Here is a 25,556-nt window from a genome sequence, read left to right as displayed (position 1 = left end):
AATTGCATGAATCAAATCCCCAAGACAGTCTAGTCTAGAGTGTATTCTTTCAATTATAAAATGAGCCCTTAAAACAACAACATATGTGATCATTAAAATGGTTTCTTATTATGAACACAGCATTCAAATGAATTTCAGCATTTGCTTTTTAAAAACTTAAAAGAACAATTCTAAATGGTGGTGCGGAAACAGCTTGCAACTTTGATGTAATAATAATGTTTATCTGGTTTTCTTTCAGACTTCTTTTAGAAAGAAATGTTTTAAGAAACCACGACTATACAGATTTGGGGAAGAAAATTTGGAAGAGCTAAGAAACCTGAGGACTACCATGTGCTAATAGTACATATTAAAATCCTAAAGTGTGGAGAATCCTAAGAGATCCTAATTAAGCCTTTGCAAATTACAATTTCTCTGGAAGAGGCAGAGAGCAAGAAACAATTGCTGGAATTTTTATGAAGGGCTTTAAAAAAAAGCTGTGTAAATAAATACAGGATTGTATCTGGAAAATGGCACAACGGAAGAAGAACCAGAATAGGAAAACGCTGTCAAGAAAATCAATTAAAGCTAAGAGATGTCAGTGGCAGAAAGGAAGATTGCATTTGCAATAAAGGGAATAGCTACATGAAAATAGAAAGAGAAAGAGGGAAATGATAGTTCAAGCAGTGAACTGAGTGTTTATGGTCCTCCAAAATTCACACATTGAAATCTTAACCTCCAAGATGATGGCATGAGGAGGTGGGGCCTTTGGGAGGTGGTTAGGTTATGTGGGTGAAGCCCTCATAATGAGATCAGTGCCCTTATAAAAGAGGCCCTAGAGGGCTAGCCACTCCCTTCCATGTGAAGACACAGAAAGAAGGCACCATCTATAAACCAGGAAGCCGGCCCTCACCAGACACCAAATCTGCCAGTGCCTTGATCTTGGACTTCCCAGCCCAACTATGAAAAACAAATTTCTGTTGTTTATAAGCCACCTAGTCTATGGCATTTTGTTATAGTAGTCCTAATGGACTAAGATAGTCCATTAATGTCTACAACAATAAGCTCTATTTTTTAATGGAATTATTCTTTTTGTTTTCCTTGAGCCTTTCTTAATTTTAATAGATTTTTCTAAAAATGCTGTTAGTATAAGTTGGAACCTACTAGTTAATATGGAGATATTAAATGAATGTCACTATTATTAAGGAAGAGAAACATCATCAGTTGCATCAATTAGTATAATAAAACAGGAGAGTTTTTAAAATGAACTATTACCACCTTCCTTGGTGCATCTATTATGATGTGGACCAGAATGCATAAATAGACCCTGTGCACCACTGCTACATCTGCTTAGCTTGCTTAGAAGTTCACTTCCTCCACAGTCCAAAAGAGGGACCAGGGTCTCATGCAGGAGTAGAGAAAATTCATGCTATCTCCATGTTCAGATTTCTAGAATGTAAGACTTTTGCTCGGCCAAACACTTAACTCTCACACTTGCCATCTATATCATGAAATATCAGCATTACAGCTTCATTGCTCAGCTTCAGGTTTTGAATAGGTTACCATGCAAACTCTTCATCTAACCTGTTATCAGTCAGTTGCACTTCAGTGTGAATGAACTTATCAAGTCCTTTGCTAACAGCAGGTTTTCAAGAGAGAGAAGACAGCCTGAGGACAATGGACAGCAACCAAATGGGACTAGAAAGACATCAGAAGTGACCAAACCAACAAAACTTCCATTCATTTTGTGAAGCAACTTCCACGACTCTCTAAATCTTTATCCTAGAAATAGTTTGCCAGGACAGAAACAGAAGCTAGCCACTCCCAAAGCTGTGGCTTCCTAATGTCAGCTAAACACATCTCAAGGTCTCTCCCAAGGATGAGTGTTGCAGGAAAGTCACTAGTGGACTAATATCAACCGAGGGCTTCCAAGACGCAGGCCCTGTGTGCAAGGCAGTGAGAGCAGGAGATGAAAAGACAGGGTCATCCACCTCAAAGAGCTTAACACCCACTACAGAAAAATGGTAAATTAAACTAACTTCAAAATAGAAGCAGAGTGGGAATGCAAAAGAAATATGTCCTGATAATTCTTGTGGGATTGTAGTATTATAGAATTCAATAGGTGTGACATAGAAAAATAAATAGGGTCGAGCTATTTATTCTCAATAATCCACTCTTTGGCAAGAAAGTATACCACTTGCTTCGAGATTCCAAGAGGCACCAGAGGTAAAACTTAATTATAAAATCAAGAACTATCCTAATGAGAAAGAGAAGATATATGTGTGTATGGAGGGAGAGGGGGTGGCAGTGGGTGAGACCATTTAAGGAAACCAGTATCTTGACAGGGAGCTTCCCTGTGAGCTCAAAATCTGTAGGCAGTTCAGAGAAAAAGAAACACAAATGACTTTTAAACATGAGAAAAAAATGTTTAAGTGATATTCACAGATCACGTAAAATACACGTGGAAACAATACCACCACCAGTGATCTGGCTGTCAAAAGTCATAAAGTGTGATACAATACATTGGGTGGGGGGCTAGGACATGGGAATATTTGGCATATTCATTACAATATTGGCAGGCATATAAACTGGAATACTCTTTATGGAAGGCAATTTGACACTCTCAAGATATAGAATACTTTCATCACCACAAGGATCCCTCGTGTTAGCCTTTTATAGCCATTCCATCGCCCTCCCATCCCCATCCTCTTCCTAACTCCTACAAATACTAATCTGTTCTCCATCTCTATAATTTTTGTCATTACAAGGATATTATATACATGGAATAATACAGTGTGTGAAACCTTTTGAGATTGACTTTTTTCCCTTTCAGTATAATTCTCTAGAAATTTATTCAAGTTTTTTTGTTGTTGTTTTTTGTTTGTTTGTTTTTTGAGACGGAGTTTTGCTCGTTGGCCTCGTTGGAGTGCAATGGCGTGATCTTGGCTCACTGCGACCTCTGCCTCCTGGGTTCAGGCCATTCTCCTGCCTCAGCGTCCAAGTTGCTGGAATTATAGGTGCCCGCCACCACACCTGGCCAACTTTTTGGATTTTTAGTAGAGACGGAGTTTTGCCATATTGTCCAGGCTGGTCTCAAACTCCTGACCTCAGGTGATCCACCTGCCTCGGCCTCCCAAAGTGCTGGGATTACAGGCATAAGCCACCGCGCCCAGCCTCAAGTTGTATTTTAATAGTGTGTTTCATGTTCTTTTCATAGTTCTTTTTATTCCTGAGAAATATTTTGTGGCATCAATGTACCATAGTTTGTTGAACAATTCACCCATTGAAGGATATATGGGTTATTGTCAGTTTCAGGATATTATGAATAAAGATTCTATAAACAATTGCTTAAAGAAATTCACAATGTTTTGTGAAAGTAAGTTTTCATTTCTCTGGGATAAATGCCCAGGACAGCAATCACTCAATCATATAGCAGTTGCATGCTTAGGGTTTTAAGAAACTGCCCAACTTTTTCAGAGTGGCTGCACCATTACATTCCTACTGTATGAGAGATCCAGTTTCTCCATACCTTAGCTAGCATTTAATGTTAGCCTTTTATTTTATTTTATTTATTTTAGCCTTTCTAACAGGTTTTAATTTTGGTTTCCATAATGGCTGGTGATGTTGAACATAATTTCAGGTGATTTTCCATCTGTAATCCTGCCTGATGAAATATTTATTCATATCTCTTCATGTCTTTTGCCCATTTTCTAATCGAAATGTTTATTACTGTTGAGGTTGTTTGTTTGTTTGTTCTAGAGATGGGATCTCATGCTGTCCCCAGGGCTGGAGTGGTGCAATCATAACTCCCTGCAGCCTCAAACTCCTGGGCTCAAGCAATCCTCCTGCCTCAGCCTCCCAAATAGCTGGGACTACAGGTGCTTACCACCATGCCCAGATTTTTACTGTTGAGTTTTGAGATTTATTTATATACCCCAGCCCTGAAGAGCTAGTCTAGACATAGTCATTTGTTGAACATGTGGTTTGCAAGTATTTCCCCCAGTCTGAAACCTGTCTTTTCATCATAAGAGAGACTTTTGCAGGCAAAATTTCTAATTTTGATGAAGTCTAATTTATCTACTCTTCTTTTTATGAATTATGTTTGGTCTCAGGTATAAGAACACTTTGCCTAACCCTAAATCCTAAAGATTTTCTCTCATTATTTTTCTAAAAGTTTTTGTTGTCATTGTCATTGTTGTTGTTTTTAGAGACAAGGTCTCTCTCTGTCGCCCCAGGCTAGAGTTCAATAGTGTGATCACAGCTTGTTGTAACCTCATACTCCTGGGCTTAAATGATCCTCCTCCCTCAGCCTCCAAGTACCTAGGACTACAGGCATGAGCCACCACAGCTGGCTAATGTTTTAAATTTTTTTTGGAAAGATGGGGTTTCACTATGTTGCCCAGGGTGATCTTGAACTTCTGGCCTCAAGCAATTCTCCCAACTTGGTCTCTCAAAGGACTGGTATTACAGGCATGAGCCATCTTGCCCTGCCTAAAAGTTTTACGATTTTACATTTTCATTTAAGCCTATGATCCTTTTTAAAAAATTTTTTAAATATAAAATACGAGGCTTAGGTCAAGCTTTTTGGTCTCTGTTTTTTGTTTTTTTGCCTATGGTTGTAGAATTCACATTTTTCTCATCTGCACATAGAATATTCTCCAGGATAGATCATATGTTGTTAGGTCACAAGTCTTAACAAATTAAAAATATATATATATTAAGTATCTTTTTGACCATAATAGAATAAAACTAGAAATCAACAACAGGAAGAACTTTGAAAATTATACAAATACATGGAGATTAACTAACATACTCCTAAACAATCAATGGGTCACTGAATAAATTTAAAAATTTTTTGAGATCATTGAAAATGGAAACACAGCATACCAGAACTTATAGGATTCGGCAAAGCCGTCCTTAGAGAGGAGTTTACTGCAAAAAATGCCCTACATCAAAAACGAAGAAAGATTTCACATAAACAACCTAACAATTCATCTCAAAGAACTAGATAAACAAACTAAACCCAAAATTACTATAAGGAAAGAAATAATAAAGATCAGAGCACAAATAAATAAAACAGATGCTAAAAAGATAATATAAAAGATCAACAAAACATAGTTGTTTTTTTGAAAAAAATTAACAAAATTGACAAACCCTTAGCCAGACTAAGAAACAAAAGAGAAGACTCAAATAAATAAAATCAGAGATAAAAAGGGAGACATTACAACTAACAACACAGAAATAAAAAGGATTATAAGAAACCACCACGGGGGCAGGGCCAAGATGGCCAACTGGAAGCAGTGGCATTCAGAGGCTCCCATCAAAAAAAAGCTATAAGGGTGTGAATCCCTCATCACCAAACAAAGTATCCAGGTTCCCTCTTCAAAATTGACTAGAAGGCTGGTACGACCCACAGAGAGAAGGAAGAACAGTGTGGTGCGTCGGCCCACCTGAGAACCACATGGGGTAGGAGTACCCCCTCCCCCCAGCCAAGGGAGGTGGTGAGTGAGCACGCTACACAGCCAGGGAAACTGTGCTTCTTCCATGGAACTGTGCAACCCACAGATTGGAAGATCCCACTCACGAACCCACGCCACCAGGGCCTAGCATCCCAACCCTAGAACATGCAGATTCCCTCAGCCTCTCAGCTGGAATCTACTTAAGCCTACCCAGCTCCTGGGGAGAGGGGTGACCAGCACCACAGCTGCAGCTGCCTGCTGTCTAAGCAGTTTTAGCTCCTTGGAGGAAGGGCAGCAGCCAGCACTGGGACTCGCAACTGCGTAACTCACTAAGATCTCTAGGTGGGGGAAGGGTGACAGCCATCTCCATAGATCCAGTCTGCACTTCTCCACTGCTAGAGCCAGGGAGGCTAGATTTGGTCCCAAGACTTGTCCCCACAGCCCAACACACCGGCTGTGGCAGTCTACAGCCAGAGCACCTCTTCAGGTCTTACCCTGACCCATCCTTCCTCACTGGGCAGGGCTTCCCTGCAGGAGAGCCAGTAACACCAGCCAGAGGCTCAGGGACAGACTCTGGATCTACCTGGGCCTGATCCCCTAGGAGGAGGGGTGGCCGCAGTCTCTGTAGACCAGCCAACTTAGCCTCTCTTCCTGGTAGTTCTGAGGAATCCAGGCAGCCCAGATGAGTGGGTTTCCCCCCAGGGAAGCACACCCCCTCCAACAAGGGGCAAAGTACTTCATTAAATGGGTCCTGTTCCCTGTGCCACCCAACTAGGTGAGACCCTCCAACAGGGGTTGTCAGACACCCTACACTGGAGTGATCTTACTGGTATCAGATTGGTGCCCCTCAAGGTCAGAGTTCCCAGAAGAAGGAGCAGGCACCCACCTTTACTGTTCTCCAGTCTCCTTGAGTAATATCTCCAGGCACAGGAGTAAATCAGATGAATAGGGCCTGAAGTGAACCCCCAGCAAACTGCAGCAGCCCTACAGAAGCGGGACCTGACTATTGAAAGAAAAGCAAACAAGCAGAAAGCAACAACAACAGCATCAACAACAAAAAAGCTGCCAAAAAAAAAACCCCATGCAAGAGTCAGCAGCCTCAAAGACCAAAACTAGACAAACTCATGAAGATGAGAAAGAATCAACAAAAAATGCTGAAAACCCAAAAGGCCAGAGTGCCTCTTTTCCTCCAAATGACTGCAACGTCTCTCCTTCAAGAGCACAGAACTGGATGGAGAATCAGATGGACAAACTGACAGAAGTAGGCTTCAGAACATGGGTAATAAAAAAAACTATGCTGAGCTAAAGGAGCATGTTCTAATCCAAGGCAAAGAAGCTAAGAACCTTGATAAAAGGTTAGAGGAATTACTAACTAGAACAACCAGTTTAGAGAGGAACATAAATGACCTGATGGAGCTGAAAAACACAGCATGAGAACTTCATAAAGCATACACAAGTAGCAACAGCTGAATCAACCAAGCAGAAAAAAAGATATCAGAGTTTGAAGACTACCTTGCTGAAATAAGGCATGCAGACAAGAATAGAGAAAAAAGAATGAAAAGGAATGAACAAAGCCTCCAAGAAATATGGGACTTCATAAAAAGACCAAACCTATAATTGATTGGAGTACCAGAAGGAGATGGGGATAATGGAAACAAGGTGGAAAACACACTTCAGGATTATCCAGGAGAACTTCTCCAACCTAGCAAAACAGGCCAACATGCAAATTCAGGAAACACAGAGAACACCACTAAGATACTCCACAAGATCAACCACAAGACAAATAATCATCAGATTCTCCAAGGTCGAAATTAAGGAAAAACTCTTAAGGGCAGCCACAGAGAAAACCCAGGTCACCTACAAAGGGAAGCCCATCAGACTAATGGTGGACCTTTCAACAGAAACTCTACAAGCCAGAAGAGATTGGGGGCCAATATTCAATATTCTTAGAGAAAAGAATTTTCCCCTCAGAATTTGATATCCAGACAAACTAAGCTTCATAAGTGAAGGAGAAATAAAATCCTTTCCAGACAAGCAAATGCTGAGGGATTTCATTACCACCAGGCCTGCCCTGCAAGAGTTCCTAAAAGAAGCACTAAATATGGAAAGGAAAAACCAGTCCCAGCCACCACAAAAAACACATGAAAATATGTTTTCCATGCCATATTAGTACCATAGTACCAATGACATTATGAAGAAACTGCATCAACTAGTGTGCAAAATAACCAAATAGCATCATGATGACTCGATCAAATTCACACATAACAATACTAATCTTAAATGTAAACGGGCTAAATGCCCCAACTAAAAGACACAGACTGGCAAGTTGAACAAAGAGTCAAGATCCATCGGTGTGTGGTGTATTCAGGAGACCCATCTTACATGCAAAGACACACATAGACTCAAAATAAAGGGATGGAGGAAAATTTAACAAGCAAATGGAAAGCAAAAATAAAAGCAGGGGTTGCAATCTTAGTCTCTGACAAAACAGACTTTGAACCAACAAAGATCAAAAAAGCCAAAGAAGGGCATTACCTAATGATAAAGGTAACAATTAAACAAGAAGAGCTAACTATTCTAAATGTATATGCACCCAATACAGGAGCATCCAGATTCACAAAACAAGTTCTTAGAGACCTACAAAGAGACTTAGACTCCCACACAATAATAGTCGGAGATGTTAACACCCCATTGTCAGCATTAGACAGATCAACCAGACAGAAAATTAACAAGGATATTCAGAACTTGACCTCAAATCTGGATCAAGTGGACCTAGTACATGTCTACAGAACTCTCTACCCCAAATCAACAGAATATACATTCTTCTCAGGGCCACATGGCACTTATTCTAAAATTGGCCACATAATTGGAAGTAAAACACTCCTCAACAAATGCAAAAGAACTGAAATCATAACAAACAGTCTCTCAGACCACAGTACAATCTAATTAGAACTCAGGATTAAGAAACTCACCCAAAACCACACAATTACATGGAAATTGAGCAACCTGCTCCTGAATGACTCCTGGGTAAATAGTGAAATTAAGGCAGAAATCAAGAAGTTCTTTGAAATCAATGAGAAGAAAGAGACGACATACCAGAATCTCTGGGACACAGCTAAAGCAGTATTAAGAGGGAAATGTATAGCACTAAATGCCTGCATCAGAAAGCTAGAAAGATCTCAAATGGACACCCAAACATCAAAATTAAAAGAGCTAGAGAGGCAAGAGCAAACTAATCCAAAAGGTAGCAGAAGACAAGAAATAACTAAGATCAGAGAAGAATTAAAGGAGATGGAGACATGAAAAACCCTTCAAAAAAATCAATGAATCCAGGAGCTGTTTTGTTTTGTTTTGTTTTGTTTTGTTTTGTTTTTGAGACAGTCTCACTCTGTCACCCAGGCTGGAGAGCAGTGGCGTGATTTTGGCTCACTGCAAGCTCTACCTCCCGGGTTCACGCCATTCTCCTGCCTCAGCCTCCAGAGTAGCTGGGACTACAGGCACCCGCCACCACGCCCAGCTAATTTTTTTGTGTTTTCAGTAGGGACGGGCTTTCACCGTGTTAGCCAGGATGGTCTCGATCTCCTGACCTCGTGATCCGCCCACCTCAGCCTCCCAAAGTGCTGGGATTATAGGCGTGAGCCACCGCGACCAGCCCAGGTGGTTTTTAAAAAATTAACAAAATAGACCACTAGCTATGCTAATAAGAAGAGAGAGAAGAATCAAATAGACACAGTAAAAAATGATAAAGGAGAATCACCACTGGCCCCACAGAAATACAAACTACCATCAGATAATACTATAAACACCCCTATGCAAATAAACTAGAAAACCTAGAAGAAATTAATGAATTCCTGGACAATACAGCCTCCCAAGACTAAACCAGGAAGAACTTGAATCTCTGAATAGACCAATAACAAGTTCTGAAATTGAGGCAGTAATTAATAGCTTACCAACCAAAAAAAGCCCACGACCAGACGGATTCACAGCTGAATTCTACCAGAAATACAAAGAGGAGTTCGTACTCATCCTTCTGAAACTATTCCAAACAATTGAAAAAGAAGGACTCCTCCCTAACTGATTTTATAAAGCCAGTATTATCCTGATACCAAAACCAGGAAGAGACACACAAAAAAAGGAAATTTCCGTTGGGTGTGGTGGCTCACACCTGTAATCCCAGCACTTTGGGAGGCCAAGGCAGGCAGATCTCGAGGTCAGGAGGTCGAGACCATCCTGGCTAACACAGTGAAACCCCGTCTCTACTAAAAATACAAAAAAAAAAAAAAGCTGGACATAGTGGCGGGCACCTGTAGTCCCAGCTACTCGGGAGGCTGAGGCAGGAGAATGGTGTGAACCCGGGAGGCAGAGCTTACAGTGAGCCGAGATTGCGCCAGTGCACTCCAGCCTGGGTGACAGAGCGATACTCTGTCTCAAAAAAAAAAAAAAAAAAAAAGGAAATTTCAGGCCAATATCCCTGATGAACATTGATGCAAATATCCTCAATAAAATACTGGCAAACCGCATCCAGCAGCACATCAAAAAACTTATCCACCACGATCAAGTTGGCTTCATCCCTGGGATGCAAGGCTGGTTCAACATATGCAAATCAGTAAAGGTAATCCATCACATAAATAGAACAAAAGATTAAAACCACATGATTATCTCAATAGATGCAGAAAAGGCCTTTGATAAAATTTAACATCCCTTCATGTTAAAAACTCTCAATAAAATAGATATTGATAGAACATATCTCAAAATAATAAGAGCTATTTATTACAAACCCACAGCCAATATCATATTGAATGAACAAAAGCTGGAAGCATTCCCTTTGAAAACCCGTACAAGACAAGGATGCCTTCTCTTAACACTCTTACTCAATATAGTATTGGAAGTTCTGGGCCAGGGCAGTAAGGCAAGAGAAAGAAATAAAGGTATTCAAATAGGAAGAGAGGAAGTCAAATTGTGTTTGTTTGCAGATGACATGATTTTATATTTAGGAAACCCCATCATCTCACTCAAAAACTCCCTGAACTGATAAGCTACTTCAGCAAAGTCTCAGAACACAAAATCAATGTGTAAAAATCATAAGCATTCCTTTACACCAACAATAGACAAACAGAGAGCCAAATCATGAATGAACTTCTATTCATAATTGCTACAAAGAGAATAAAATACCTAGGAATACAGCTAACAAGGGATATGAAGGACATCTTCAAGGAGAACAACAAACCACTGCTCAAGGAAATAAGAGAGGACACAAATGGAAAAACATTTCATGCTGATGGATAGGAGGAATCAATATCATGAAAATGGCCATACTGCCCAAAGTAATTCACAGATTCAATGCTATTCCCATCAAACTACCATTGACATTCTTCACAGAATTAGAAAAAAACTATTTTAAATTTCATATGGAATCAAAGAAGACCCAGTATAACCAAGACAATCCTAAGCATAAAAAACAAAGCTGGAGGCATCATGCTACCTGACTTCAAACTATACTACAAGGCTACAGTAACCAAAACAGGATGGTACTGGTACCAAAACAGACATATAGACCAATGGAGCGGAACAGAGACCTCAGAAATAACACCACACATCTACAACCATTTGATCTTCAACAAACCTGACAAAAACAAGCAATGGCGAAAGGATCTCCTAGTCAGTAAATGGTGCTGGGAAAACTGAAACTGGACCGCTTCCTTACACCTTATACAAAAATTAACTCAAAATGGATTAAAGACTTAAATGTAAAACCCAAAATCATAAAAACCCTTGAAGAAAATCTAGGCAATACAATTCAGGACATAGGCATGAGCAAAGACTTCATGACAAAAACGCCAAAAGCAATTGCAACAAAAGCCAAAATTGACAAATAGAACCTAATTAAACTAAAGTGTTTCTGCACAGCAAAAGAAACTATCATCAGAGTGAACAGGCAACCTACAGAAAGGGAGAAAATTTTTGCAACCTACCCATCTGACAAAGGTCTAATATCCAGAATTTACAAGGAACTTAAACATATTTACAAGAAAAAGACAAACAACCCCATCAACAAGTGGGCAAAGGATACAGACACTTCTCAAAAGAAGACATTTATGCAGCCAACAAACATATGAAAAAAAGCTTAACATCACTGATTATCAGGGAAATGCAAATCAAAACCACAATGAGATAACATCTCAGGCCAGTCAGAATGGTGATTAGTAAAAAGTCAGGAAACAATAGACGCTGGTGAGGCTGTGGAGAAATAGGAATGCTTTTACACTGTTGGTAGGAATGTAAATTAGTTCAACCATTGTAGAAGACAGCGTGGTGATTCCTCAAGGATCCAGAACCAGAAAAACCATTTGACCCAGCAATCCCATTACTGGGTATATATATCCAAAGGAATATAAATCATTCTGCTATAAAGACACATGCACACATAAGTTTATCGCAGCACTATTTACAATAGCAAAGACATAGAACCAACCCAAATGCCCATCAATGACAGGCTGGATAAAGAAAATTTGGTATATATACACCATGGAATACTATGCAGTCATAAAAAGGAATGAGGTTATGTCCTTTGCAGAGACATGGATGAAGCTGGAAGCCATCATCCTCAGCAAACTAACACAGGAACAGAAAACCAAACACCATATGTTCTCACTCATAGTGGGAGTTGAACATTAAGAACACATGGACACAAAGAGGGGAACAACACACACCAGGGCCTGTTGCAGGGTGGAGGGTGAGGGGAGGAAACTTAGAGGATGCGTCAATAGATGCAGCAAACCACCATGGCACATGTATACCTATGTAAAAAACTTGCACGTTCTGCACACGTATCCTGTGTTTTTTTAGAAGAAATAAAAATTAAAAAAGAAGCTACTATGAACAATTTTATACCAACAAATTGGGAAATCTAGAATAAATGAATAAATTCCTGGATACATACAACCTATCAAGATTGAATCAAGAAGAAATAGAAAATCTAAACAGATGAATAATAAGTAACAAGATTAAAGCCATAATAAAAAGTCTCCCCTCAAAGAAAAGTCCAGGACCTGATGGTTTTACCGCAGAATACTGCAAAATATTTAAAGAAATAATACCAATTCTTCACAAAATATTCTAAAAATTGAAAAGGAGGAAACGCTTCCAAATTCATTCTACATGGCCAGCATAACTCTGATACCAAAACCAAACAAAAACACAACAACAACAACAAACTACAAGCAAATATTCCTGATGAACATGGATGCACGGATTCTCAACAAGATGCTAGTGGTCAGAATTTGACAGCACATTAAAAACATCATTCACCATAATTCAGTAGGATTCATCCCAAGGATGGTTTAACATATGCAAATTAATAAATGTGATATACCACAACAGACAGAATAAATGACAGCAACCATATGATCATTTCAACAGATACCAAAAAGGCATTTGACAACAGTCAACATTCTTTCATGATGAAAACGCTCAACAAATTGGGCACAAAAGAAGCATACCTCTTCCAGTTAAATGGCTTGTTAAAAAAAAAATACCTCAACATAATAAAGACCATATATGATAAACTCACAGCCAACATTATACTAAATGTGGAAAAGTTGTAGCTTCTCCTCTAAGATGTGAAACAAGACAAGGATGACCACTTTTAACAGTTATAGTACTGGGAGCAATTAGGCCAGAGGAAGAAATAAAAGGCATCCATATTGGAGAGGAGAAATTAAATTGTCCCTGTTTGAAGACGATATGATCTTATATTTAGAAAATCCCAAAGACTCCAGAAAAAAACTATTAGAACTGATAAACAAATACAGTAAAATGGCAGAATATAAAATCAACATAGAAAAATCAGTAATGTTTCTAGACTTTACCACAATGCAATATATCAATGTAGCAAAATTGCACTTGTACCCCATGATAATATACACAAATTTTTAAAAATAAGATTTTAAAAACAAAGATCACAGATCACAGAGCACTATAACAGATATAATAATAATGAAGAATTTTGAAATATTATGAGACTTACCAAATGTGGCACAGAGACATGAAGTGAGCACATGCTGTTGGAAAATGGTACCAATAGACTTGCTCAATGCAGCGTTCCACAAACCTTCAATTTATCAAAATGCAGTACCTGTGAAGCAAAATTAAGCAAAGTGTAATAAAATGAAACAGGTCTTAAAAAATCAGTAATGTTTATATATGCTAATAGTGAACTATGTGAAAAAGAAATCAAGAAATCAATCCCATTTACAATAGCTACAAAAAAATACCTAGGAATAAATCTAACCAAAAAAGTGAAAGACCTCTATAATGAAAACTGTAACATATTAATTTTAAAAATTGGAAAGGACATGAATAAATGGAAAGCTATTTCATGTCCATGAAAGAGTTAATATTGTTAAAATGTCCACACTATCCAAAGTGATATACAGATTCAATGTGATCCTATCAAAATTCCAGTGACACTCTACAGAAATAGAAATAGCAATTCTAAAATTTTTATGGAACTGCAAAAGGCCCTGACTAGCTAAAGCAACCTGAACAAAAAGAACAAAGCCAGAGGCATCACACTATTGATTTCAAAATATACTACAAACCTATATACCATGTAACCAAAACAGCATGGTACTGGCATGTAGACTAATAGAACAAAATAGTGAGCCCAGAAGTAAATCCATGCATTTACAGTCAACTGGATTTTTACAAAGGCACCAAGAACACACAAGGGAAAAAGGACAGTCTCTTCAACAAACAGTGCTGGGAAAACTTGATATTCACATGTGAAAGTATAAAATTAGACCCCTAGCTGTCCCCATGTACAAAAATCCACTCAAAATGGATTAAAGACTCAAATATAAGACCCGGAACTATGAAACTACTAAAAGAAAACATCAGGGAAACATGACATTGGTCTAGGCAACAATTTTTTTTTTTTACAAGAACTCAAAAGCACAAGCAACAAAAGCAAAAGTAAACATATGTAATTACATCAAACTAACAAGCTTCTGCACCACAAAGAAAACCATCAACACAGTGAAGAAACAACCTACAGAATGGGAGAAAATATTTGAAAATTATGTATCTGACAAGGAATTAATATGTAGAATTTATAAGGAACTCAAACTCAAAAGCAAAAATAAATAATCTGATTTTTAAATGAGCAAAACACCTAAATAGATGTATCTCCAAAGAAGACATATAAATGGCCAGTAAGTATATGAAAAATGCTCACATCATTAACCATCAGGTAAAGACAAATCACAGCCACAATAAGAAATCATTTCACCCCAGTTAGAATGGCTACTATCAAAAAGACAAAAAAAACAGCAAATGCTGGCAAGGATGTGGAGAAAGAGGAACCCATATACACTGTTGGAGGGAATGTAAATTTGTACAGCAATTATGGAAAACAGTATGGAGGTTTTTCAAAATGTTAAAAATAGCTCTTCTATAAGAACCAGCAATCCCACTACTGGGTATATGTCCAAAGGAAATAATATCAGTATGTACATCTATAATCTCCCGTTTATTGCAGCACTATTCACAATAACCAAGACATGGAATTAATCTAGGTGCCCATCAATAGATGATGGACAAAGAAAATGTGGTATATACACACAACGGAATACTATTCAACCGTAAGAAAGGATGGAATCCTGTCATTTGCAACAACCTATATTAGCCTAGAGGACATTACGTTAAGTGAAATAAGCCAACCACAGAAAGACAAATACTGCATGTGGAATCTAGTATTGTGGAATTGAGATTCTCACTCATGTGGAATCTAAAAAAAATGATCTCATACAAGTCGAGAGTAGAATAGTGGTTACCAGCAATGGGGGAGAATAGGGAGAAGGGAGAGATGGGGAGATGTTAGTCAATGGGTACAATGTTACAGTTAGGAGGAATAAGTTATTATATTCTATTCACAGTAGGTTACAACAATGTACTATATATTTCAAATAGATAGAAAAGAGGATTTTGAATGTCCTTACAACAAAGAAATGATAAATGTTTAAGGTAATTGATATGCAAATTATAATGATTTGATCAGTATACATACATGTATTGGAATACCACATTGTACCCCATAAATGTGTACAATTATTATGTGTCGATTTAAAAAATAAAAATATATTTAAAAAATAATTTGAGGAATTAAAAATTTAGCCAGTTCCAGAACCACGCCCCCACCAACACATGGAGGAAATTAACACTTCTGTTTCCCATTCCAGAACTTTGCCATGCCTGCTATAATCTTCCCTTCCCAAGGATATGATGGTTCTTTGGCTTTCCAAACCAACACAGCTAGTGACTGAAGTCTAAGATCTCTGAGAACAACAGAGAAACCAAACTGCCACCATGAAGGTGTTGCCAGGAACAAACAACACACGAGCAGCTTTGCCTCTTCCAAGTTTTACATAAGTGCACCTGATTTTCAAAACCTAAATCTCACTTGGAATATCAGTGCAAGGATGTCTAGAAAATCTGCTTTTACCTCGCCAGCCTCTTCAGCACATGTGGGAACATTTGACAGATGGATGAGTGTTGACAGCCAAGCCTATGCCCAATACAAAGGCTCCTTCACAGCACTCGCCCATCTCATAACAATATATTTGAATGATCCACATTTATCTTCGATGCTTGATGGCTAGGTTTAAGGGGTTTTTTTCCACGCACAAATGGTCTGATACGGAGCTAGAGATAGTCCACGACTTTTGTTTTGGTTGCATATTTATTGAGTAGGATATTGGACTTGATCTCCAATTGCCCTTTACCCTAATAAAGCAGGTATAGAGGGAGCAATGTGTGATTTTATGGAGTTTTATTCCATTTTTAGTCCTGAAATTACTAGCTAATATTAAAATCAGGCTAACCTGGGGCCTTTTTGTCCAAATATCTTCCTTTTTTATTCTTTAATGAAGATAATTCATCTGAAATCCCAAACACATGGTTTTCAATTATGTATATTAGTAATAAATAAATGCCCTTGTAATATCCCCACTGTCCTTTGGTACAAGGTAACTTCAACTGTGATACTTGGACTTAACAAGACATGTTCATTTATTCAGCAAACATGTCCCGATCACTTGGTATGTAGCTGATACTGTGTAGGATATCCTTAGTTTTCTATTTCTCACTTATGATTCCAAACTCAAATTCCAATAAGTCACCTACCATAACTGGTTAGAGAATTGGTTCATTTGTGTGTATTTGCAAATTCAAGGTCAGAGAAATTCTGAAAATCTCAACTCCCTTAAAAATCCATTTAACATCCACTTTGATCAGCTCCAACAGCATAAGGTAATAGCAATTCCAGTAATCCTATGTTCCACACCTAAGAGCTCTTCCAGGTCCCCCAGTGTTATATCACCTTTCTCCAAAATGGTATATTTTCAAGCCACCCTTTCTCATTACTTCTCGTGTTCAATAAAATCTAGAGGAGACATAGCTCTTGCTTAGTTTGTAAAGATTCTGGAGCCAACTTGGTCCTTTGTTTATTTGCCAACAGTCCCTAATATTTTGTAAAATTTGATTAATTCCTCCCTCATTCAATTTACATAAGCCATCAAAGACCACAAATGTAATAGAAAGAAGCAGAGAACATCAACAAAACATCTCAATAAAGGACAAACCTAGAATAAATCATGAAGTCGCTGTCAATAGAAATTTAAAGCACAAGATTTTATTTTCTTTTTAATCTGTTGCTATAAAGTATCAGCCATCTTCAGAAACAGAGTGAATCTGACAGTTTTGTGTTGACTCTCACATTTCCCATTATGGATCCCTCTCATGTCTGTCCCGAAGCAAAAATAAATTTCCCTTTTTAAGCTTTTGATGATAAAAATCTCATCTGAAGCCTCATAAATGATCCTTTATTATCTAAATTAATAATGAATAAATTTCTTTTGAATACCCCTGATCTTTTGCATTAATAGCACCAGATGTATTATAGATAACCTTTTGATTTAACAGCACAAACTCGGAAACAATATTAAACACTAAAGGACTGAGCTGACTGGAGTCACTGAGGTCAGAATTATAAACATTTCTTTCAGTTCTATGTGCCCATTAGGTGACACTAACACCCATCAGTATTTATTTTTGGAATGTGTGTGTAAGTGTGTGTGTGCGTAAAAGAGAGACTGCCCTAGAAACTCATAAATTTTTATTTTCTGCAGCCCTTTAATTCTCACACATTTCATGTTCCTTCCTCAACTTTTTTCTAGTGTGAGCTGAAGAACTCAACAGAGAAACTATTTAAAGCATCCCTGTAATGCCCTGTTTCATTTCTAGCCTGTTTTTTAAAAAACAAAATTAATCTCATATTATTGCATTTCCAGTTGGAAAGATTCTAATGCATATTACAAAAAATTAAAGAATCATTAACAACAATCTTAGCCATTCCTTCTTCAGACTTTTTATTGAACTTCATTAATTACCTATTACTAAATGCCCTCTTACCCCATCACAGACTCCCACAGATGAAGAAGCATCAGGGGACGCGGTGAGCTCTGCCATGTCACAGAGATCCTCAGGGCAGAGCCTCAACAGTAACACAGATTCTTCACTCAGGGTCAGTTTCCGATACCATAGTTTAGCTTCATCCACTTCCATATGCCTCCATTCTTGGATTGGGAGCTAGAATACTATGGAAAACAGTTATGGGTTTGTGGGCTCCCTCTGGGAATCAAGGATAAGGAAGGGAAGGGAGCAGGGACAAAGGAGAGAAATCACATGTTCCCTCTGGAAACCTGTGCCTGATAAGTGGCCTGACACCTTCTCTCACAATGGAGAATGTGTTTCAGACTCCAGTATGCTTATATCCACTGTCTAGGAATATAATCTATCAGAATGCCTGAGAAGCTGACTTATTAATAAGAAAGGGATTTATGAACATGGGATTCATGTTCTACTTTTACTATAGGAAAGTATCAATGGGAAAAACAGGAATTAAGGCCTTTTTTACTTTCCCTTTGATACTTTCCCACACCAAAGCTCCGAGAAAAAAACTGGAATTCAGAGTAAATTTAGCTCGGAATACATTTAAATCAGTGTGCTGCCTCTTTCAAGGCTACTCACTTTTAAAAATTTACCTTTTAAATAAATTCCTTATTTTAGAATGGATTTAGATTTACAGAAAAGTTGTAAAAGTAGTTGTATTAATCAGGGTTCTCCAAAGAAATAGAACCAATAGGATGTGAATACACACACAGAAAGAAATTTATTAAAGGGAATTGGCTTATGCAGTTACGGAGGCTGGCAAATCCAAAATCCATAAGGTGGGCCGGCAGGCTGGAAACCCAGGAGAGCTGCATTTCACTTCAAATCTAAAGGTAGTCTGCTGTATGAACCAGGAAGAATTGATGTCACCGGTAAAGTCTGAAGACAATATGCTACAGAACTCTCTCTTGCTCAGGGAGGCCAATCTTTCAGGCCTTCAACTGATTGGAGGAGGCCCATCTACATTATGGAAGACAATCTGCTTGACTCAAAATCCACAAATTTAAATGTTAATCTCATCCAAAACACCCTCACAGAAACATCCAGAATAATGTTTGACTAAATATCTGGGCACCCAAAGCCCAGCCAAGTTGACACACAAAATTAGCCATCACAGTAGGGCAGAGTTCTCATGTACTCCATGCCCAGTTAACATCTTAACATCAGCATGGTACATTTGTCACAGTTAACAAACCAATAATGATACATTATTACTAACTAGGGTCTATACTTTATTCAGATTTCCTTAGCTTTTATTTAATGTCTGTTTTCTACTCCAAGACCTCATCCAAGACTCCACAATACATTTAGTAATCATGTCTTCTCAGGCGCCTCTGGGTTGTAACACTTTTTCAGACTTTCCCTGTTTTTGATGACCTTGACAGTTTTGAGAAATGCTGGTCGATATATTGTTATAATGGAATTTTTCTGATGTGTTTCTCATGATTAGACTAGGGGCATGAGGTTTTGGAAGGATGACTACAGAGGGAAATTGGCATTTTTTATTGAATCATTTCAAGGGTCCATCATATCAACATCATTTGTGACTGTTGATGCTGATCCTGATTGCCTCACTGAAGTAGTATTTGTCAGGTTTGCCCAGTGTGAAGTTATTCTTGGTTCTCTTCTTTCTGTACTGTTCTCTTTAGCAGGAGGTCTCTGTGAATCTCACACTTAACAAGTGGTGACTTATGGTCCACCTTCTTGAGATCAGAGGATTTATATACATATAAATTATTTTGAATTCTTCCACATCAGAAATGTGTGTATTTGGGGCAATGTGCTTTTAAGGATACCAATTTCTCATGAAATGAAAACTTCCCTCTCTCTTGCAAAAACTTCAGGTTTGGCTCAATGGATGAGGGTAGGAGCAGGGAGATCTAAAATTCAACTGTGTGGGAAGCTGCCCACTCCTGTTCCTAAAGCTGGCTTTACTGCCCCACCACTGGGTAAGCATCCCAGGCAGACACGTATGCTCAAGGATGAAATCAATGAGAAAGCCTTAGATTTTTAGTTGATTATAAGCTAACTAAAATCCTTTCGAAAATAGGTAGGGCAAAATCAGTGTAGTACCCTGAGTTGGTCTAACTACACCTGGGGTGCTAGACTCAGTTCCAGACACCAAACATTAAGAGAGAAATACGCAAATGAATATGACCAGAGAAAAGTGACCAGCATGGGGGAGCGAGAACACTACACAATAGAAATAATAGGTCCTACATGTCCGGCTTTCTACAGTTTACAAAGTGCAATTGTGCACACTATGTCATTTAGTCCCTGTCTGAAATTGCAAGTCTCCAATTTGGTATTCCCCATCCCCACTTTTCTGCTTTGCTTTTCTTTGTAGTACTTTTGCCAATCAACATTCTCTATATTTTATTTATTTTCTGTCCCCTACCCTCAGAGAATCTAAGCTTCAAGAGGGTAGAGGTGTTTGTCTGCTTTATTATTTTATTCCCAGCCTAATGGGCACTCAATAAATATTTATTGAATAAATGAATCCTAAAAATATAACCATGAAATTGGCATTATGTTTAATCTTATGATAAACAGGCTTTCAGAGTAAAGAGATTTGCCTATTTCCACAGCACCAACAAATAAAATAGCTGGGAGTGGAATCTGGGGAGATCCAAGATATACAGGGGATATGTACAGAGGAAACATCCAGTTATGTTTCCTCCATACAGATAAAATGCTATTAAGAAAAGTGAGATATTTTATTTAAAAAACAATTTTCAGAAACATTGTGAACTACAGAGCAGTCTTTAGATATGAAGAGAGTTGTCCTGTAGAAAGGGGCCTGTATTCCTTCTGTATGACCCCAGAAGGCTTAACTGGAATTAGCCAGTGGAAATTACAAAGAGGAGGATTTTAATCTCAATATTAGGAAGACCTCTCGAACTCTGAGAGCTCACCTGCCCTGCCCCAAGTTTAACAGCCCTCCTGGAATGACCTGTTTGAACTGGAATAATTCAGAAGGAAGCTCCATGTTTACTGTGGGGGAGTATGGCAGAGGGGATTTAGGCATTAGACAGGTCATTTGGGTGGGCAACGTTTAAAGACGCTTTCCAACACTGAAACCAATTATTCTTATCACACACGGTTTCCTGAACAGGGCAACGCAGGGCTTCCTGAACAGGGTGGCACAGGTAAAGAATAGACAGAAGATCACTATATATAAGTAAATAAATATATATATCTGTGTGTGTATATATATACATATATATATATATTGTGTGTGTGTGTGTGTGTGTGTGTGTGTGTTGAAATGCCTTAGAGCCCAATTTTAGGTCATAAAAATATGTGTGGTACCAGATAATATGTAGTGAGGATTCTGAGTGTGTGCTTTGCACAGAAGAGGAAAAGTAGGAAGGTGATACACCCCTTCCCAGATTGTAACTTGAACATATTTTCTGATAACAAAGAGTTCATCAAGAAAAAAATAATAATGAGGCTGGGTGCGGTGGCTCATGCCTGTAATTCCAGTACTTTGGGAAGCCGAGGCAGGCAGATCACCTGAGGTCAAAAGTTTGAAACCAGCCTGGCCAACATGGAGAAACCCCGTCTCTACTAAAAGTACAAAACTTAGCCGGGCGTGGTGGTGCACACCTGTAATCCCAGCTACTCGGGAGGCTGAGAACCTGGGAGGCAGAGGTTGTGGTAAGCTGAGATTGTGCCACTGTACTCCTGCCTGGACGACAGAGCAGACTCCATCTCAAAAAAAAGAGAGAGAAGAAAGGGAGGGGAGGGGAGGGGAGAGGAGGGGAGGGGAGGGGAGGGGAGGGAGAAAGAAAATGATACCTGTTACCACCTCTATGATTTGCCATCTTTGCTTTAAGCCCATAGTCCGTGTAAAGCACGTAAGCACCTGTAAGCTGCACCTGTAGGCAAAGTTCCTTGTCCCTGGTCTCCCTAGAGCCAAATCATTCACACTTTGTACTTTCTCTACTTCAAGCCTTCTGCGAAACTCAATCTTTAATTAGTTTCATCTGCTTCCCACCAAAGATAACACCTGAAAACTGTCTTAGGGAGAGAAGTAAATCAAAATATCTTCCTCAATCTGGCCACTGATCCCATATTTGCTACAGTTGTAAAAAAAGAAAATAAAACAAAAAGTAATGTTTGCTTTTGCATGAAATACCCAATAGACTAAAGAGTATTTTTTTTCTGAAAATAGTTAGAAATGATGCTTCTTAGCTATAAGAATGACCAGGAGAGAAAAGATATACAAAGGGGGACAGCAGAGCTTGTTTATGTAATGATAATAAGGCTGGGCATGGTGGCTCATGCCTGTAATTCCAGCACTTTGGGAGGCTGAGGCAGGCAGATCACCTGAGATCAAAAGTTTGAAACCAGCCTGGCCAACATGGGGAAACCCCATCTCTACTAAAAATACAAAACTTAGCCGAGCATGGTGGTGCACACCTGTAATCCCAGCTACTCGGGAGACATATGCTCTACTAAAAGACTAATATTTAATATAAATTTTTTATTTCCTTAGGAAATTTTTCTAAAGTAGAAATTTCAAATTGCTTATCTTATTCCATTTTATCCAAAGCTATGGAGATAACTTTCATGATGTTTTATTTGATATATGGAGGGAAAAAAACTAGTATTTTGTTGCTACCATAGTCATCCATTGGTTATGGTTATTTTGAGTGGTTTCCAAACACATGGTGTTTTCAGAGGGTGTCGAGGCCAGCTGGGAGACTAGGCAGGGATTAGCAATTGGGGGGATCTAGGCACAGTGGCTCACGCCCGTAATCCCAACACTTTGAGAGGCCAAGGTGGGCAGATCACCTGAGGTCAGGAGTTCGAGACCAGCCTGGCCAACATGGTGAAACCCCATGTCTATTAAAAATACAAAAATTAGCCAGGCGTGGTGGCGTGCACATGTAATCCCTGCTACTCAGGAGGCTGAGGCAGGAGAATCACTTCAACCCAGGAGGCGGGGGCTGCGGTGAGCCAAAATTGCACTCTAGCCTGTGTGACAGAGGGAGACTTCGACTTTAAAAAAAAAAGGAGTTGGGGGGAAGAGGGGGGCACAGAAACAGGTGGCTCCTATGACGTGCTGTTAAAAATGGGTTGAAACACATCAGCTTTAAACAACCCTCCTCCTGCCATCCTCCTCACCACAGAGGGAAAGCATATGGTATTTATTATCTCCCTACAGACACTCCTCTGGAACTGAGCTGCTTAGGTGTTTTGACAGATTTTTTAAATCTTAAATTTCAGTACTAAATGACTGAATAAGAGTATCCAAGGTCTTTATGTGCCAGACAGCAAGATATGTGAGAGAAAGAGAGAGAGAGAGAGAGAGAGAAATAAATAAACCCAGGTCCTGCCCTCAAGGAGCTCAGAGTTTAGGTGGGGAGACAGAAATATAAACTGATCATTTCAATATACTGCCCTGAGGGCTATGAGACAGAATGTGGATTGACTGCAATTAATCATTCCAGTCTGGGTTAGATGAGATTGAAGGATTAATCAGAGCTCTGCAGGTGAATACAGTTTGGGAATGATATTCTGGGAAAAGAGAAGAGAAAGACAAAGGACAAAGGAAGGGAATTGCATGGCCAGTTTGGGGAATTACATAGAGTAGATGTAGTAGATGTTCCTTGGTAAGTAACCCAACATAAAAAACAGTTGAAAGGCCCAGAAATTTCTTTCAAAGACAATGGGTTGACCCATCTTCAGAGGAGAAAGAGGATTCTGAGAGGCACAAGATATATAAAGAAGGGAAGCAATGGAAAAGGAATTAAATAATAAAGGAAACATTTGTCTGTATCTTTGTGGGTCACTGGGCACCAGAGGCACCATTGGTGACAATAGGGGTGACAGCACTGGTGACCGCCATAGTCACAGCACAGGTGGCTCTGACAGCAGCCATCACTAGGGTGTAGAATTAATAACGCTGACATCAGAGCTTCCACTTCTGATGCTAGTATCTACCAAGACACAATCAAAGACCTTTAAAACATGAGGAAAAAGCAAAGACGAAGCCCCTGAGGTACAAAGCCAGCTTTCAGAGCACACGTTGAACGCCACTGGGGCCCTCCCAGAGCCATTTGGGAGGACCGTGGGCATTTGGAGTTTGTGTAGGGAAGGTGGGGACAGAGTCAGAAAACATTTTTTAGTGACTGTTTTTGTCAACCAATTCACAAAATGTCTTTTCAAGACTTAAAAAGTATGAGGTCTGAAGCAGTAATAGAAAAGAACTAGAGAAAGGATATTTGAAGATATATATTTTTGTCAACACAATACCCATTTCCCCTTCCTAATAATGTCTTTGTTTCAGTTTAGGAAATCACTTCTTCCGCATTGTGTGGGGTCTTCGTGGGACAATAACTGTGGATGTTGTGTGGTAGATGCGCCTGAGAGCAGTAATTTGACTTGAGCATACCCTAAGGATTACCCTGTGTGGCACTCACACCTGAATGTGTGTTTGGGGTTCCAAGCTAAGGGATCCAGGAGTGGGCAACATGGAGATCCATTCCTTGTCTGTGAGGAGCACCTGAGCCCCCAGCCCGTATCATAGAATGTGGGCCATACAGGGTATCAAGGCCCTTTGTCTTGGGTTAAATGAAGGTTGCTTGATGGAGATTGTTAGGGGGAGGGTGCTAAGTGAAGATGCTGTATGAACTGCATGCTTTGCACAAGCGGTTGCAGTTCTGTCCAGCCTGCTGCCACTGGCCCACTTTGTATGTAAGTTTCTGGCTAGTGAACACTTAGGTCTTGTTTGCTGACTCTAGTTCTCTTCTGTCTCCTGAACCTGGTGCCATCTCTATTGGAGTTAATAGGGGTCTGGTATGACAGATGCTCGCCTCCCACTGTGGAAGCTGACTACGCAAGTCTCCTGTCAGACACCTCATAATGGGGGATAGTTAAGTGGTGGATACTCATTTGTAAATTTGAATCCTCAGAGACTATTACAAGGGCAGACACATCATACTGGGGGATAGTTAAGCAGTGGATACTCTTTTAATTTTGAATCTTCAGAGACTAACACAAGGTCAAAAGAAATGGAAGTCATACCAATACCAGTGGAGGAACCCAACTACGAGTTCAAGTTCCTGCCACAGGTCCAGCCTTGTAGTTTTAGTTAACCCTAACCTTTTGGTGTTACCTTACCCTTCCCACACTCAATCCTATTTCTCCAGCGTGCTCATTATTATTGTAACCTTCTGACATCCTTTCAATATGTGCCCTATATTTAAATTTCCCAGAGTCAAGTTCTGCTTTGTGCCTCTAACAAATTCTATATGATATAGTCTTGAATGCCATGTTTGTTCCTGAAGTTGATTTTTCCTATATAAAAATGGTGGAAAATGGAAGGTTAGTTACTCATGGAACATAAACCCCATGTGAGTAAACCTTATTTATGTGCAATAAGTTAGTAGACAATGAGAAATCACTTGGTGCAGCGTCTCAGGTAGGCTTTGCCACTAAGCCTGACGAACTGGTGGGAAGTATAAGAGGCCAACACTGAACAGAGATCTGCTCTTTAGAGTAGAAGGTGGCCAAGAGCATTGATGAACTAAGAGGCTACCAGTATGTGTAGGTCCAATGTCTGAGACCTGGTATAAAGATTTTTATTCCTAATTCTGTAAATGA

At 39.2% G+C, this 25,556-nt stretch overlaps 1 long non-coding RNA gene across 3 annotated transcripts in view; it reads right to left on the bottom strand.

Annotated features, from left to right (window-relative positions):
- Nucleotides 1–25,556, bottom strand: part of LOC105374911 (uncharacterized) — a 43,091-nt gene that overhangs the window by 5,294 nt on the left and 12,241 nt on the right. For 2 of the 3 annotated variants that reach the window (XR_007059438.1, XR_926444.3), the window contains exon 3: nucleotides 13,462–13,569. This is a non-coding gene — a long non-coding RNA (uncharacterized LOC105374911). Of the gene's footprint in view, nucleotides 1–13,461; nucleotides 13,570–17,910; nucleotides 18,089–25,556 lie in introns of those variants that run through there. The other variant, XR_926445.3, reaches the window with a different exon arrangement.

The sequence above is a fragment of the Homo sapiens genome, chromosome 6, assembly GCF_000001405.40.
Source record: "Homo sapiens chromosome 6, GRCh38.p14 Primary Assembly".
Classification (NCBI taxonomy): Eukaryota; Metazoa; Chordata; class Mammalia; order Primates; family Hominidae; genus Homo; species Homo sapiens.
Note: the sequence above shows the minus strand (reverse complement) of the source record. Positions and strands in the feature narration are given on the sequence as shown.